This window comes from Homo sapiens, chromosome 4 (assembly GCF_000001405.40).
Source record: "Homo sapiens chromosome 4, GRCh38.p14 Primary Assembly".
In the NCBI taxonomy this organism is placed as follows: domain Eukaryota; kingdom Metazoa; phylum Chordata; class Mammalia; order Primates; family Hominidae; genus Homo; species Homo sapiens.
The window spans coordinates 121,711,550-121,728,606 of record NC_000004.12 but is presented as its reverse complement, the minus strand read 5'-3'; the positions used below and the strand labels follow the sequence as shown (position 1 = coordinate 121,728,606).

The window sequence follows — 17,057 nt, the reverse complement described above, 5'->3', positions numbered from 1 at the left end:
AGCATGGTTTTGACAGAGGTCTCCCGAGGGGAAATTTGAGGTATTATGAATTATTTAATTATGACTATAATATTTAATAACTACTTGCCTTAAAATATTTTTTAAAGAAATTATATCCTTCAATTCCCAGAAATGCATCCAGGGGACTTTATTCAGGGCTGGAGGGAGACCTCAGAACCAGCATTCTTTGGGGATTACTGTACTTGGGACCAAAGGCTGAGGACGCCTGGCTTCATCCTCATTCATTGGGCAATGCCACAGGGAACATTTAACAACATTCCCGTGATGCTTCTGCTCTCTGTTTGTTGCATTGGAGGCAACTTGGAACAGAAAGATGATGGGCTCTGGGGCCAGATGATTCACCTACCTGTGTATCATGTTCAGGAAATTGTTTAACATTTCTGAGCCTCATTTTCCTCATCTTTTAAAAAATGAGAAAAATGGTCAGGCGCGGTGGCTCATGCCTGTAATCTCAGCACTTTGGGAGGCAGAGGCAGTTGAATCATCTGAGGTCAGGAGTTCAAGACCAGCCTGGCCAACATGGCGAAACCCCTTCTCTACTAAAAATACAAAAATTAGCTGGGACATTCCCACACTTGTAGTTCCAGCTACTCAGGAGGCTGAAGCAGGAGAATCACTTGTACCCGGTGGGTAGAGGCTTCAGTGAGCCAAGATCGCACCATTGTACTCTAGCCTGGGCAGCAGAGTAAAACTCAAAAAGGGAAAAATAACAAAAGTTCTTTCTCCCATACTTGCTTTGAAACGGAAATAAGGTCATATGAATAAAAGATCTAACAGACGTGGGGCCCATAGTGAATACTTGCCCAGTATTAGCTGAATTTTATTCATGGAGGACAAAGCACTTTCGTTTGTTTGTTTGTCTTTTTGAGACAGAGTCTCACTTTGTCGCCCATGCTGGAGTGCAGTGGTGCGATCTCAGTTGGTTCAAGTGATTCTTGTGGTTCAGCCTCCAGAGTAGCTGGGATTACAAGCGCCCACGACCACACCCGGCTACCTTTTTGTATTTTTAGTAGAGATGGGGTTTCGCCATGTTGGCCAGGCTGGTCTTGAATGCCCGGCCTCAAGTGATCCGCCTGCCTCAGCCTCCCAAAGTGTTAGGATTACGGGCATAAGCCACTACATAGCCAGGACAAAGCACATTTTAAACATCTTTCTCCACTGTGTGGTAGTATCTGGCTTGCCTTTTCACTATCAGAGGCTCTGGTGCAAAGAGCCGTGAACTCACGTATTAAATTCTTCTAGTGTTCTTAATAGGGGTATTATTTTTGCCTAGTAATAATGATCATATTCATAACAATAGCAACCACAGTGAACATATACTAAACATTAGTGTGCTTGCATTTTTCTACATGCTTCGTATATACTAACTCAACAGTACTGTGAAAAAAGTTCTAATATTAACCCCCCTTAACAGGCTGAGGTGCAAATGGATTAAGAAATTGTTCAGTGTCACTCACACAGTTGGAAACTGGGGAACCAGGATTTTAAAACAGATGTTTGCCACCAGAGCACATCTTCTTAACCACTAGGCCTCACTGTCTGATGGCTGCGTGTTGGTTTGTTCATTCATCCAGTAAATGCATATTGAGCAGTTATTTATACCAATCATTGAAACCGAGTGGATGAATAAGACACACTTTCAATTCTCAGAGAGTTCACAACTTAGTAGTCAAGACAGATAGGTAAATAAATGGCTTCCATGTAATGTGGTTAAAACAACAGCAGAGGTCAGTATTAGGTACAGTGGAAGCACTAATGTGGCAGGACTTGATTCTATGGCTAATTTCCTCCTGACAGATAAAGGGGCCCCTTGAATGAACTAAACAGTGAACAGGTAAATGGCCCTGCTACAGAAATGAGTACCCAGCAGCTGCTGTGGCTGGTCAGATGCAGGTAACTGCTGATCAGTCTAGTGTGAAACCTACTTAGAGATCATTTAGGTAGTCATTCAGCCCAATATTTTACTACTTGAGTTATCTTCTTTGTCTGAGAAAAGAAAGATAATAAAATACTATGTGACTTAGAAGCCAGGCAGTTGCTATATGTGTTCTCATGATCAATAAAACTGATAAACTACGAAACAGATACTCAACTTGTCCTATAAAAACAAAAAAGTGCTGTGGTTTTGACGTTCACGTTCTACAAGACTGTGTTTTCGTCAGTGTTAGATTGCGAGATGGTGATCTCAAAGTTTGTTCTGAGCAGGGGGAAGTAAGAAAAAAAAAGTTTTAGATATGTCCTTCCTTCTTGAAGCCACTTTCTATGTTGACTGCTTTTTTTTTTTTTTTTTTTTTTTATGAGATGGAGTCTCATTCTGTTGCCCAGGCTGGAGTGCAGTGGCGTGATCTCGGCTCATTGCAACCTCTCCCTCCTGGGTTCAAGCGATTCTCCTGCCTCAGCCTCCAGAGTAGCTGGGATTATAGGTGCCACCACTATGCTCAGCTAATTTTTCTGTATTTTTAGTAGAGAAGGGGTTTCACCATGTTGGCCAGGCTGGTCACAAACTCTGGACTTCAAGTGATCCTCCCGCCTCGGCTTCCAAAAGTGCTAGGATTACAGGTGTGAGCCACCGGGCCTGGCTGACTGCTTATTTTCTGAGTTATTAGGAAAAATGGGAAATGGCAGGGCTTCTCAGGCAGCCTGCTCACCAGGCATGTGTCTATGCTCTTTTCATTTCCTCTGATGATCTGGAAGAGAACTATGGTCTCAGAGAAAAAGCCATTGTTCCAGGAATGTCTGTCAGTAATGCATTGTGGGTTTCAACGAAGACATCACTTAAGGGATGGAACATTGGTGTATCTGCTTAGTGCCTGTGGCTTTCCCACTGAAGGAAGAAATGAGCTCCTCTAGATTCCAATATTGCACTGTGGCAAAGCATGCCTTCCCCCACCGAAAAATGTTGTAGATTTAAGGGAGACTTCTTACATAGATCTCCTATGTACCTGGGTTAAAATGTGTAGGAAGAGTCTTAAGCATTTAAAAGAGTTGTCCCAGAAACCAAGAAGGGCTTATTCCAAGCCTGGTGAAACTACCTTTGTTATGAAGCAATGTTTTGTTGGTTTTTGCTGTTGCTGTTGTTGTTGTTTTTGAGATGTGGTCTTGCTATGTTGCCCAGACCCACCTCAAACTCCTGGGCCCAAGCAATCCTCCTGCATAAGCTTCCTGAGTAGCTGGGATTACAGGCATGATCCACCACACCCAGCTCCATAGCTTGTGCTCTGAAAGGAGATATTACACAGGGATATGAAGATGAGACCGCAAAGAGAGAGGCTGTCAGGGGACATGAGGACTGTGAAGGATGGGGTTACACAGAGCTGACGCTTTCTGTTGTAGTCACTCTTAGCATTGCACAGGGCTTTTAAGTGAACTAGATTAGTGCTTCTTATCTTTTTTCCTCTGCCCCAAACACCTGAGAGACAAAATATTTGTACTAAAAACACCTGCAGGGCTGGGTATCAGAAACTCGGAGTGAATGGGGGTTACTGGAAGAAGGGAAGAGCTGAAGGAAAGAGATGAAAGAAGGAAGAACTTACGCATTTTAAAAACAGAAAAAACAGGTGAGTGGGAGTCTGCTTCCCCTGCTATGAAAAGTCACCACAATCCAGTGAACCACTCTCCTGTAGGGTGTCTTTGACTGAGTTATGTCCCTGTCCCTGAAAGATGAGTTATGCTGGTTCATATGTGGGTCATTCCTACCTATGGGTTGGCCCTAAGCTTGTTCTCTGGAATGTCCCAGAACATGTCTGTTAACTCTTCCCATATGACCATCCTCCAAATACTTGGAGTCAGGCCTCTTCTAAGACTTCTCTTTCCTTGATTAAACTTCAGCCCTTCTCTTCCTACCCATCCTACACCCTCTCACCTCAGGACTCTACTTTGTGCCAGGTGAGACCAGCTAATCTGAAAAACAAATTCATATTATATCAGCTGGTGGTAATGTTACCCTCATGTCTGCAATCACAAAACAGGAAGAAGCCTTAGAAGTCAGCTCAATCCAATTCCATATTTGTTCACAAAAAAAGTGGAGACTCATTGTTACATATTTGTTGATATTTGTTGGTGGGTCAATTAGGACCAGAATGCAAGTTTCTAAACACCACATGTAGCAGAATATGTACCAGGTCACATTCCCGGAGAGAATTTCAATAGGCGGTAAGTTCAGGTGTAACCTAGCAGAAACGAACAATTCAATAAAGGCTCCAGCCTGCTAGGGCCTTTTGTCTATTTCAACACACTGTATATAATTTAATTTTATAGAGTAAGATAATCTCCAAACCAGGGAGGCTTCTAAGTGTGTCTGTTTCTTATTATTAAGACGGTGGTTTGTTGGGGTTTTTTTTGTTGTTGTTTCCGTTTGTTTGTTTGTTTTTGTTTTTTGAGATGGAGTCTCACTCTGTCACCCAGACTGGAGTGCAGTGGCACAATCTCAGCTCACTGCAACCTCTACCTCCCGGGTTCAAGCGATTCTCCTGCCTCAGCCTCCACAGTAGCTGGGATTACAGGTGTCTGCCACTACACCTGGCTAATTTTTTTGTATTTTCAGTAGAGACAGGGTTTCACCATGTTGGCCAGGCTGGTCTCAAACTCCTGACCTCAAGTGATCTGCCCGCCTCGGCCTCCCAAAGTGTTGAGATTACAGGCGTGAGCCACCGCGCATGGCCTTTTACTGTTTTTTTGGATGAAATGCTCGCACACAAAAAGTGAGCTGCTTTATTCGTTAGTGTCGGTTGGTGGTATTTTACCTTTAAATATGTAATTTTATGGAGGTGACTTATTTTCAAAATCAAAGGATCCTTGGAGAACCAAATAAAGGGTGGGATTATATCACCTAGCAACAGCTATATCATTAACTATGAAAAAGGAAAGAAAAAAATTCAAAACAAAGGTATTGGTGTGAACATTTTACCTGGACATACATAAAAATTCTGATATTTAAAAAATAAACTTTATTTTTAGAAGAATTTCAGCTTTACAGAAACATTGCAGTGATAGTACAGAGAGTTCTGTGTACCTCACACCCAGTTCCCCCATCCTTAACATTTTACATTATTATGGTATATATGACACAATTAATGAACTAATATTGACACACTATTAACCAAAGTCCTTTTTTGTTCACATTTCCTTAGTTTTTATCAAATGTCCTTTTTCTTTCCAGGACTTTATTCAGGATGTAACATTTTATGTTGTCATTGTGTTTCCTTAGGTTCCTTTTGGCTACGACAGTTTCTTAGACTTCCTTTGTTTTTGATAACCTTGAAAATTTTGAGAAACATTGGTCAGGTATTTTGTAGAATGTCTCAGTTGTGACTGGTTTGATTTTTTTTTCTCCTGATTAGACTGGATTCTGGGGTTCTATAGAGGAAGACCACAGAGGTAAAGCACAATCTGCATCAAATTGTATCAGGTGTGTATCATATCAACACAACATCACTGTTGTGATGATCTTGATTACCTGGCTGAGGTAGTACTTGTCAGGTTTTTCTACCATGAGGTGACCAATTTTTCCTGCCTTTCCATACTGTACTATGTGTCACTATGTGTAGCCCACACTTAAGGAGTGGCAAGTTCTGTTTCACTTCCTATGATCAATTTTCAATTAATTTTTGTGAAATGAATACAGTTTATGTCTAGTTTCATTTCTTTCTGCACATTACAATCATTGTAGCACTATTTGTTGAAAAGAATATCCTTTCTCCATTGAATTGCTCTTGTACTTTTGCTTTTGTCAAAAATCAGTTGGCTATATTTATTTGTAGGGTCATTCCATTTCACTTCTTTTTGTTTTGTTTTGTTTTGTTTTTTTTGAGACAGAGTCTCGCTCTGTACCCAGGCTGGAGCGCAATGGCGTGATCTTGGCTGACTGCTGGGTTCAAGTGATTCTCCTGCCTCAGCCTCCCGAGTAGCTGGGATTACAGGTGTGTGCCACCACACTCGGCTAATTTTTGTATTTTTAGTAGAGACAGGGTTTCACCATGTTGGCCAGGCTGGTCTTGAACTTCTGACCTCAAGTAATCCACCCACCTCAGCCTCCCAAAGTGCTGTGATTACAGGCATGAGGCACCACGCCCGGCCTGTTCATTTCAGCTTAAAGGTACACTTCAGTGTGACTCTTGAGAAATTAGTTGATTTTAATTTTGTTTCCACTAGTCTGTGTAATCTAAATTTATTAAAATTTTTTCCTCTAAATATGTAGTTATCATCTTAGCCTTTGAAAATGGTGCCTCTTAATAACAAACAAAAGATCTTCAAATTCATTTTCATCTTTCAGAGGTAAGAGTAAAACAGTATTAGGGTGAGAAGGGGAATTTAAAGACCCCTCACTTTAACAATATTGTTTATCCTGTGAGAAAAGCTGAGATGCTAGTGAATGACTTGCTCAAGGTTACACAGCTGGTAAGTGACAGGGCCACTAACCAGCAATCAGAAGCTCATGGACGACTCTAGCCAGTCCTCCACCCCACGTGGCATCCTGGTTCAAATAGGCTTCTGCCTTTTCAGTTCTCTCTCCAAGCACACTAATCCATAGATAACATACTTCTCAGGTAACAGTAAAAGTTGATATCATACACAAGGCTAACTGGAAAACTAGCCCAGGGGAATCATTTTGAGAAGCTAGGTTGGCTGAAACACAGTGCTAATGAGGCAAACTCCCAAGTTCTTGCATCCCATGAGACAATTAGCTTATTTTTTATTGGTAGCCAAACTGCAGCTATAAAACTTTTTAACAAGCTGGCAAAGGTTTACTCCTGGTCACAAAGGGAACTCAGTGAGAAAATGCTAGTTATATGTACACTCCACGTTGTTATTGGGAAAATAGCTCAATGGACACATCCTGCTGATACTGAGTCAACAAGATAATTTTCATATCAGAAAAGCAATAGTGTACCTAACCCTGTGTGAGTGGGCATTATGTTAGGTGATAATTCCTGCTGCTCTAACAAAATACCTTAGACTGGATAATTTATAGACAACAGACATTTATTTCTCACAGTTCTGGAGGCTGAAAAGACCAAGATCAGGGTGCTGGCAGGTTCAGTGTCTAGTAGAGGCCTTCTCTCTGCTTCCAAGATGGGGCCTCATTGCTCTGTCTTCCAGAGGGGACAAATGCTGTGTCCTCGCATGGTAGAAGAGCAAAAAAGGCCTTGCTGTCTCCCTACAGCCCTTTTATAAGGTTGCTAATCCCATTTATGAGGGTCTGCCCTCATGATTTAATCACTTCCTAAAGGCCCCACCTCTTAATACTGTTGCATTGAGGATTAAATTTCAACATGAATTCTAGAGTGAACACAAACATTCAAACCATAGCAATAAGATTATTTAATAAACAGAGATATGAAGAGATTACAAATCATTTAATAAATGGAGAGAGAGACAATCTTAACTATAAACCTGATATTCTGATTCCACAAGATATGTGTGCTAAACAATTTGATCACAAGATGTTTCTAAGTCTTTTGCACATCATTCAAAGCAGCAAAAAGTGATGTTCGAAAACAAAAACTAACTCTGTGAGTTGGACTAATTTTTTCTTTCATTACATTTTATTCAGAACTACTACCACAATCACCTTGCCAGTTCTTTTAAAGTATATTTGGTTCCTTAAAATTTTTTAAATCATTTTCAAAGTCATTATAATTAATTATGAAAGTTATCATTGGCCAGGCGAGGTGGCTCACCCCTGTAATCCCAGCACTTTGGGAGGCCAAGATGGGTGGATCACTTGTGGCCAGGAGTTTGAGACCAGCCTGAAAAATGTGGCAAAACCCCATCTCTACTAAAACATACAAAAACTAGCTGGGTGTGGTGAAGTGCACCTGCAGTCCCAGCCACTTGAGAGGTTGAGATGGGAGGATTGCTTGAGCCCAGGAGGTCGAGGCTGCAGTGAGCCATGATTGCGCCACTGTACTCCAGTCTGGATGACAGAGACAAACCCTATCTCAAAAAAAAGTTATACTTTATTGAGCACCTACTGGGTGTCTAAAACTATCTTAAGCATTTTTATGCTCATTATTCTCATGCAATCCTCACAGCAATCCTAAGAGGGAGGTTACATTCTTATCTTCATAACATCGCAACTAAGTAGTTTATGTTCAAAAACTCATGGCTGTGCTTACTGCATCCCAAACTCAAACTTCATCATGTCCCTGACCACAGCTAGTTGCCTATGAGATTGAGTCAATTCATTGATTCATACTAAGGCAAGTATGATGACAAATGCTTGATTTATCTGTATAGAAGAGACTTGGGGAAATCAAATTTAATGGTAGATTTTTCTGGCAGCAAAAAGATGTTGGGGAAGGGAGTTGGGGCAGGAAGGCGATTCCTGCCTTTGAGTCCACTGTCATTTCAAATACATTCCTTAAATGTTTATCTGGTAAAGTGGTGAACCAGGTATGTGTGTCTGTCAACAAGAACCATGTGTGTCAGAGAAGGAAGACTTTCTTTATTCAGGGAGTCCTGCTGAGAAGAGTAGAGATCTACAGTGGGGTGGAATTCTCTGTCAAAGTTCCCTACCCACAGGTTAGATAAATGAATTAACTGTGTAGGTCTGCAGCTAAAAATCCACAGGTGGCAATTATAATAATTAGAGACTGTCCAGGCAGAAGTTTATAAAAGCCGCTTAGGTGGTGGTTAATATTGAACACTGTTTTTGGTCAAATTTTACAAGCATGTTTTTATTTTCTATTTTTAGTCTACTTAAAATTAGATACATTTCTTCTCAATCTTTCATATGTACAAGCAAACATTATTGGGCAATTAATAGCCTAAATTACATAAAAATATATTTCTACACAATTTAGGCTAAATTGGAACTATTTCACATTCACATAGTTTGGGGCCATGAGAAAAACAGAACAAAATTTAGTGACCAAAATAATTTTAAGGCTGGGCACAGTTCATGCCTATAATCCCGCATTTTGGAGGCCAAGGTGGGAGGATCGCTTGAGCCTAGGAGTTCTACTAGCTGAGGCAATATAGTGAGATCCTGTCTCTACAAAAAAATAGAAAAATGAGCCAGGCATGGTGGTGTGTACCTGTATTCCCAGCTACTTGGGAGGTCTCAGGCGGGAGGATTGCTTGAGCCGGGGAGGTTGAGGCTGCTGTGAGCCGTGATCATGCCATTGCACTCCAGCCTGGGTGGCAGAGTGAAATCCTGTCTCAAAAATAATAATAATAACAATTTTAATTGTCAAACTTTTTACATCTCTTTAATCAAAACATTATCGACCTATGGCTCTTGTAGTTGTGTAAGATACATGCACCATATAATATCATGATTAACAGTGAGAACTCTGGGATTGGACTGTCCGAGTTCAAATTCTAGCTCTACCATCTATTAGTCATTTAACTATAAGCATTTATTTAACCATCTTGTACCTCGGTTTCCTCATTTGTAAAGTGGGCACCACAATAGTGTTTATTTTACAGGACTGTTGTGGGAAATCAGAGTCACTTAGAGCAATGTCTGGCATAAAATGAGCCTTCAACAAATGTGAAATATTGTTATTATTACCTTTTTGATATATGTTATGCTCCACAATTCATGCCTATATTTAGTTTTAAGTAATGATAGACACTCATTTTATCTATTTTTTTCTGAATATATTAATCATACTTAAAGTTTTTTTGATAACTGAAATATCTGAATCAGATCATCCCCTTGGTTTTTAGATATTTCCTCTTGGTTTTTAGAAATTGTTTCTAACTCCTGGAATGCCTGCTAATTTTGATTCAATGCCAGACATTGTATTATTTAAATTATAAAAGCTTTGGGGTAATAGATTCCTCCAGAGATGCCCTACCTCATCCTCTGCTAGGGAGCTGATCACCTGAACCCAGTGAGACAGAACCAATTCCAGACTGTGATATAGATTTTTTAAAACTAGACTTTTTTTTTTAGAGCAGTTTTAGGTTCACAGCAAAATTGGGTAGAACTTATAGAGTTCCCATATATTCCCTGTCAACCCCCCGCAACCTCCCTTACTATCAATATCCCACCCCAGGGAAGTGTATTTTTTACAATTGATCAATCTACATCAACACACCATTATCATCCAAAGTTCATAGTTTACAGTAGGGTTCACTCTTGGTACTGTGCATTTTATGGGTTTTGACAAATGAAAAGAGATATGTGTCCACCATCATAGTATCATAAAGAGTATTTTCACTGCCCTAAAAATTTTCTGTGCTCCTCCTACTCATCCCTCCCTACCTCAAGCCCCTGGCAGCTACTGATCTATTTACTGTCTCCATAGTTTTGCCTTTTCCAGAATGTCATACTGTACATTACTGTTTTTGAGAGTCTCTTTTCCATCTCAGATTCATCCCTGTTCCTAGAGAGTAGCTCTCCTAGAGTTCCCCCTGAGAACCTGGGGTGTTCACTGAGGCCCTTTCCTCTTGGCGAGCCTTTTAAGATTGCAAAACCTCTGCTGTATTCAGACACTTTTTGCTTAGTTGCTTAATGTCCTGCTCCATGCAGCCTCAGAATTTGGCAAATATTTTGATAGGAAAACAGTGTCAAGTGTCCATTAACCTTTCTCATTGGGTTTCCAGCCTCATGAGATTTGGATTTTTCCAGTCCCCAAAACTGGAACCAAAAATTCGGCTGTCTTTACTGCCTCTTAGAGGCCTTCTGCCCAAGTCTGTTGCCTGGATTCTTTCCCTCTTGCCAAGTACTCTGAACTAGCAAATGCCCCAAAGGAAAAATCAGTTATAAAATGTCGACATTCCTCTCTAAGTTTTCTCATTCTCCAGGACTTGTTGCCCAAGTCTGAGTTTCCTCATCGCTTCTTCAATGACTTCAAATAGATGCTATTTTGTGTATATTATCCAGCTTTTCTAGTTGTCTCAGTGAGAGCAATGACCTTCATCTCAGCTGAAAGGGGAGGTCCCAATATACATTCCTGACAGATGTTTCTGTATTTCCTTATTACTTTGTTAAGATTACAAATATTATTTTAAAAATCCCCCAAATCTACTTGTTCTACTAACCATGTCTTTGGTGTTTTTTGGTATGTCATTCACAAGTATAAATCTCTACTTTAATATGGCATGTTCCTATATAAAAAATATTTGGTCATTTGTTGTGTAAATACTTGTTGTATAAGTTTTTTTAAATGAATTTTAAAATAAGTCTCTGGGAGTCAGAATTACCATATTGTATAGTGTATACAAATTTCAACTAACCAATAGAAATGTTGGGGAAATATAATTTTATATTAATATTTTAATAACTATATTTTGTTTCAATATTGAGCTTTCATTTTACTTGGGTGACGGAAAATAAATCTCAGTCAATTTTGGGATTTCCCAAGGATTTCATTTAAGAACCAAGGGGCTTACATAGTGCCAAGGCATCAGACTGGGGAAGGATCTTATGCTCAGTGTCACCTGTCATGTTTGCTATAATTTGAATGTGTCCCCCAAAGTTTATATGCTGGAAATGTAATCCCCAATGCAACAGTGATGAGAGGCGGAACCATTAAAAAGTGAGTAGGTCATGAGGGCTCTGCCCTCATGTGTGGATTAGTGTCATTATTGCAGTAGTGGGTTAGTTGTAAAAGTGAGCTTGGCCTTCTCTTGATCTCTCTCTCACCACCATGATGTCTTCTGCAGCAAGAAGGCTCTCACCAGATGTGGCTCCTTAATCTTGGACTTCCCAGCCTTCAGTTGTGAGCCAATAAATAAGTTTCTGTTCATGAATTACCCAGTCTCAGGTATCCTGTTGAAGTAGCACTAAATGGACTAGGATAGTGTTGCATCCATTGACATGGGCAATGCAATGTTTCCTCACTGAGCAGTCCATTCGGGCATTTCTTGACATTAATTCCTATCTAGGAGGCTCCTTTAGATCCTCTGGAATTCTCTGTTTACCTTGTTTTTATTCTTAAATTCGAAGGAAACTTTCTGCTGCACCTGTGCCATTCTAGAGGGAGAAACTGGTCTCAATCGCCTAGGCACACTAACCATTTTTTCAGCAGGACTTTGCTGCTCCCCTGGTGCTAAGCTCTGATTCTATTTCAGGTCAGTCTTCTAGTTCTAGGGGCATGGTACAGGTATGCTTCACAATGTTATCATAATGCTTTGCCTCAGTATTTCCTCTATGCCATGAATCCTTTCAATTTTCCTAAAGACTTAAGCTTTTGAAACTCAGGATAGAAGAATAATTTGCTTTTTATTGTTCTATGTGTTCTCTGAAACAACGATAATAGATTAGCTGAAAAGGGGAAAATAAAATGCTGGAGAGAAAAACAAAGCCAGACACTGGTTAATATTAAAAAAATATCATTGTGCTATATGTGTATTCATTCAATAAAACCTTACTTATTGAGGTCCTAACATATGCCAGGCATTATGCTGGATGCTAGACTGCAATAATGATCTAGTTATGGTCTTCACCTCACCTCAGTTAGCTTCAAATCTAACAAGAAATACATACTGACAAAAAAAGAGGTGATTTCACGACTTCTGGCTAAACATGGCTGAGTGAACATATGTCCACTGACCCTCCTTCCCAGAATTACAGAAAAGGAACAATGAAGTACACAAAGCTATAAAGACAAAACTGAAATACTTACACAAAATACCTCTATGTAGACAAGATAGAAGCAGTAGAATTTTGGAAACTAGAAAGCAAATGGAGTAGTGGTAAAACTGACTCAACACACCAGAGAAAGCTGAGGTGAAGGCTGCTTTGAACTATGGAATCTCAGAACTACTTAGAAATATTAACATAAGGGGTACAGGTAGTCCTGAAAATGGGAAGATTAGTTGCAAGTCAGTAAAAGAAATGAATTGGCAGCCAAACTTACTTCTCAGGTGGGAGTCGTAGTTGAGTTCTCTGTGGGAAGCTAGCTGAAAACAAAAACTAAAACAAATAAACAAACAACAAACAATAAAACAACCTTGCCAAATCACCTTACAAGAATAAGTGTCAGTCTGTTCCTGTCACTTTTTTATTGCCTTGTTTTAAATATAAGCAGACAGCCAAGGATCACCAGACAATTAAGGAAGGCCTATGTCATAACAGAACTGAATCTTCAAGAAAATAGCAGCTACGTGTGGACCAGAAGAAAACATAAAAACAAACAAATGAACAAATGAACCAAAATTTCAGAAGAAAGTCTGGAAGGGAAATTGGGAAAAATCCAGAAAGTCAATCAAAAATAGAGAAATGAAAAATAGAAGAGAAAAGGAAAATAGTAGAGTTCAAGAAGCTCAACACCTAAATAAGCAGGAGTTCCAGAAAGAGAGATTATAAAAAGATAGGGTAGGATATTTTCACAGAAATAAGCAAAAACATTTTTCCTGAACAGAAGTCATGAGTTTATAGATGGAGAGAGCTCACTTTGTGCCCTGCATAATGCATAAAAAACAAAAACACACAAAGGCATGCCATGAGAAATTTCAGAACCTTGGAGATAAAGAAAAGAGCCTACAAGTACCCAGATATTCAAAAGACCCAGAAGTGGAAAGATACCAGACTTCTCACCTGCCACACGGGAAAGCTAGAAGCCAGTGCAGCCATATCTTTGAAATTCAGATGGAAAATGACTTCAAATCTTGATTCCTATTCCTTGCCAAATTTTCTAACACATATGAAGGCATATTAAAAATATTTCTGACATGCATGTTTTTTAAAAAAATTATGTCCTTTTTATTATTTTTCAGGAAAATATTAGAGCATGGATTCCACAAACTGAGGCAATAAACCAGGAAGAATACAACATAGGATCTAGGAAACAGGGAACTGTCCAGATACATTGACCGATTGTTGCAGTTTGCCTTAACCTTAGGGACTGCCAGATCTGGGTTATGAAATTGGCACAGTTCCTGGCAAATGGGAATAGCTTTGTCATCCTATGTCCACAATAACAATGATGGGAAGTCCCAACTGGAAAGCTGGTGGCCGATAATAGAACAACTCGACCAGAGAGGTTAAGAGAGTGCTTTTTTTAAATTTATTTTTTATTTTTTATTTTTCTTTAGATAGGGTCTTGTTTTGTTGCCCAGGCAGAAGTGCCATGATCACGGCTCACTGAAACCTCAACCTACCAGGCTCAAGTGATCTTCCCACATCAGCCTCTTGAGTAGCTGGGACTGTCAGTGCATGCCACCACACCCAGATCATTTTTTAATTTTTTTTGTAGAGACGGGGTCTTGCTATGTTGCCAAGGCTGGTCTTAAACTCCTGGGCTCAAGCAATTCTCCCCACTCTGCTTCCCAAAGTGCTGGGATAACAGGTGTGAGACACTGCACCAGGCCAGAGAATGCTTTAGAAGGGATGTCTCTAGAGGAAAATGCATACACACATATGTGTGTGCGCACGTATGTGTGTGTATTGCCTGTTGAATTTGAAGGCATTAAAGAAATTCTTCTTTTAAGGTTGTATTTAGAGGTAAGTAAGTTGTAGGTCTCCAGCACATGAAACCAATGAGAGTAGTGGAAATAAGGAAAAAAGTTATAGATGAAAGAGAGTGAAATCAGAGGACATTAACATGGATCTTCTGTGAATTATATTTATGTAATCATGGTGATGTAAGCACTGAATATTGCTCCAACCAGAAACTATAACTATTGAAATGATGGAGAGAGAGAAAGAGACAGACAGAGGAAAGCTAAATCATTATCTTTAATGGTATGGAGTCGATAGATAATATTCTAAAAAAGTCAACATAATCATGTTATTTAAAAATATAGAGGTCAAGTCCAGAAAAAATGGTTAAAAGAATTAAAAAATTTTTGCTTCTGGAGAATGGAAGTTAGTGGGGGTAAGACAAGAGACTTTTTTTTTTATTGCTAACATGGTAAAAAAAATTTTGACTTTTAAAATTATGAAATGAATATCTTTAATAGAGTAATATATTTTAAAAAGAAGTAATTACATTCTGCAACTCTTAACTTCATTTATGTAACATATTGATGTTCAGAGTTTTACATTTTAGTGTAGTCAAATTTATTAGTTTTTCTTTTACTTTTACAATTTGTTCTTGTAGTCTAAATTTCTTCATTAATGTGTCAAAACACAATGTAGAGTGACAAAAATAGCTAAAGAGCATGTATAGTGCATGCCATGTCTAATTGTATTAAATTTGAAATCAAGCAATACTATATTTGTATATGATTAGATATATAAGTAACAAATATATGTACAGGAATACCAATGCTAACATTCTGTGTCTTTAATATTTTATTCCTCTATTTTTAAAATTGGTTTCATTAACAAGGTATTTAATTGTAACAAGGTTTAATTGGTAGCAAAATACCTTTACATTTCTATAGTTTTAAATATTTCATAGTTAAAAAATTAATAGGCAACCATAATATCCTATGGCAAAGCTTAGAGGAAGGTACCATAGAAGGTATGTGGTGCTAGATAATCCATAGAAAAGTACCTAATCCAAATTAGGGGGGCTGGTAAGGAAAGGCTTCTGAACAAGGCAAAGACCTATAAGCTACAACCTGAGAGAAACATACTGGGACTGGGGGTGGGCCAGGATGTGGTGGAGATGAAATTCTCTAAGAAGGTAAGGGGAATTGATGTGTTAAAGTCGTCAGAATCAAAATGGAGTCACTTGTGCCAAACTCTAACAAATATGGCCAAGAGGCTGAGAAGGGAAGGTTCTCAGGCACACATGCTTATGATAAGAACGATTACAAAGACTTTCTGAAGGGGGTCTTATGCACGTATTCCTATAAAAAGGACTTTTTTTTAACTTTTTTTTTTAAGTTCAGGAGTGCATGTGAAGATCTGTTATATAGGTAAACTCATTCATGGCGGTTTGTTATACAGATTATCTCGTCACCCAGGTAGTAAGCCTAATACCCAATAGTTATTTTTTCTGATCCTCTTCCTCTTCCCGTCCTTTATCCTCAAGTAGGCTCCAGTGTCTGTTCCCTTCTTTGTGTCTGAGTTCTCATCATTTAGCTCCCAAACTTATAAGCGAGAACATGCAGTATTTGGTTTTCTGTTCCTGCATTAGTTTGCTAAGGATAATGGCCTCCATTTCCATCCGTGTTCCTGAAAAGGACATGATCTCATTCTGTTTTATTTTCCAAGGACTTCTCAAACTAGCTAGCCAGATGCACAAGAACACTTGCTGGACACTGTCTCCACTAATGAACTGGAATCAACTCCTGCCATAAGCCCCTGTAAGCAGTGTTCTCTTTGCCTCAAAACAAATTACGTCTACTTTTCTCTTTTGGTTTTATAAGCTTTCCCTCATTGTCTTTGGATGTACTTTTGGGCCCCACAGCTCGCATATCCCAGATTTGCAAATCCCCTGCACATTTCCAAACAAACTCAGTATCTCTGAAGGGACTCTCTCTGTGATGTAGGAGAAATGATAAAGGAGTCATAAACCATGATCCTGATGATGGACTTCATCCTGAGAAGAAGGTGAATCATAAAGATTGTTCAGCTGCAGGGCAAGAGCGATCCTAGAGACCAGGTGAGGAATCTGGTGTCTGTATTTCATTGGTAGATGCTCAAATTCTTTACAAAATGATTTCCTCCCCACATGATGCCTTCTGCCTCAGTGGCCCCACCGTTTTCACTTTTTCTGTTCTCCCCACATCGGGCCAGATAGCGATTCCTTCGTTCCCAGTTGCTGCCCTGTATTGTCATGCAGAGGCCCCTGGCCTTCCCCAGTCTTGTCTAAGGCTGCCAGTCGCTCCCCTTCTGTCCCAGCAGCAGCTTACATCTGTCCCTCCGGCAGCTGTGAGGCCTTGTCAATGTGGTTTTTTTTCCTCTGGCCTCCTTTCTTTGCCAAAATCTTCTTTCTGGCCCCCTGGGATTCCTGGACGCTGAGTCACCCGCGGACCGCTGTGACTCCCGCCCACTGCCGCTTACTCATCTCCTGGGCTCTGCCTTGCCGGCCGCCTCGCAGCCGGGAGGCCCAGACCCCGCACTGTGAGTGCGCTCCGTTCAGAGCAAAGGCTCAGGAGTGAGGCAAGCTGGATCGTGATTTTCCTACCAAATCCAGCTGGAGAGAGGACAGGGCTTGTGCTCAGAATCAGTGGGTATTTATCAT

General features: G+C 39.8%; 5 annotated features.

The window, feature by feature from the left end:
- Positions 1,542-1,721: a silencer, noted in NCBI's record as "silent region_15660". NCBI's record gives its function as "represses an Ori minimal core promoter by ATAC-STARR-seq in GM12878 lymphoblastoid cells {active_cell/tissue: GM12878}" and the evidence as "EXISTENCE:reporter gene assay evidence [ECO:0000049][PMID:35858748]".
- Positions 15,411-16,610: an enhancer, noted in NCBI's record as "MED14-independent group 3 enhancer chr4:122633152-122634351 (GRCh37/hg19 assembly coordinates)". NCBI's record gives its function as "activates an origin of replication core promoter dependent on BRD2, BRD4, P300/CBP and CDK7 cofactors, and independent of MED14, by STARR-seq in HCT116 cells {active_cell/tissue: HCT116}" and the evidence as "EXISTENCE:reporter gene assay evidence [ECO:0000049][PMID:35650434]".
- Positions 15,411-17,057: a biological region, named in NCBI's record as "MED14-independent group 3 enhancer GRCh37_chr4:122633152-122634351".
- Positions 16,554-17,057: an enhancer, noted in NCBI's record as "OCT4-H3K27ac-H3K4me1 hESC enhancer chr4:122632705-122633208 (GRCh37/hg19 assembly coordinates)". NCBI's record gives its function as "activates a minimal SCP1, AML or CMV promoter by ChIP-STARR-seq in naive and primed H9 embryonic stem cells {active_cell/tissue: H9 hESC(naive and primed)}" and the evidence as "EXISTENCE:reporter gene assay evidence [ECO:0000049][PMID:30033119]".
- Positions 16,611-16,890: an enhancer, noted in NCBI's record as "active region_21867". NCBI's record gives its function as "activates an Ori minimal core promoter by ATAC-STARR-seq in GM12878 lymphoblastoid cells {active_cell/tissue: GM12878}" and the evidence as "EXISTENCE:reporter gene assay evidence [ECO:0000049][PMID:35858748]".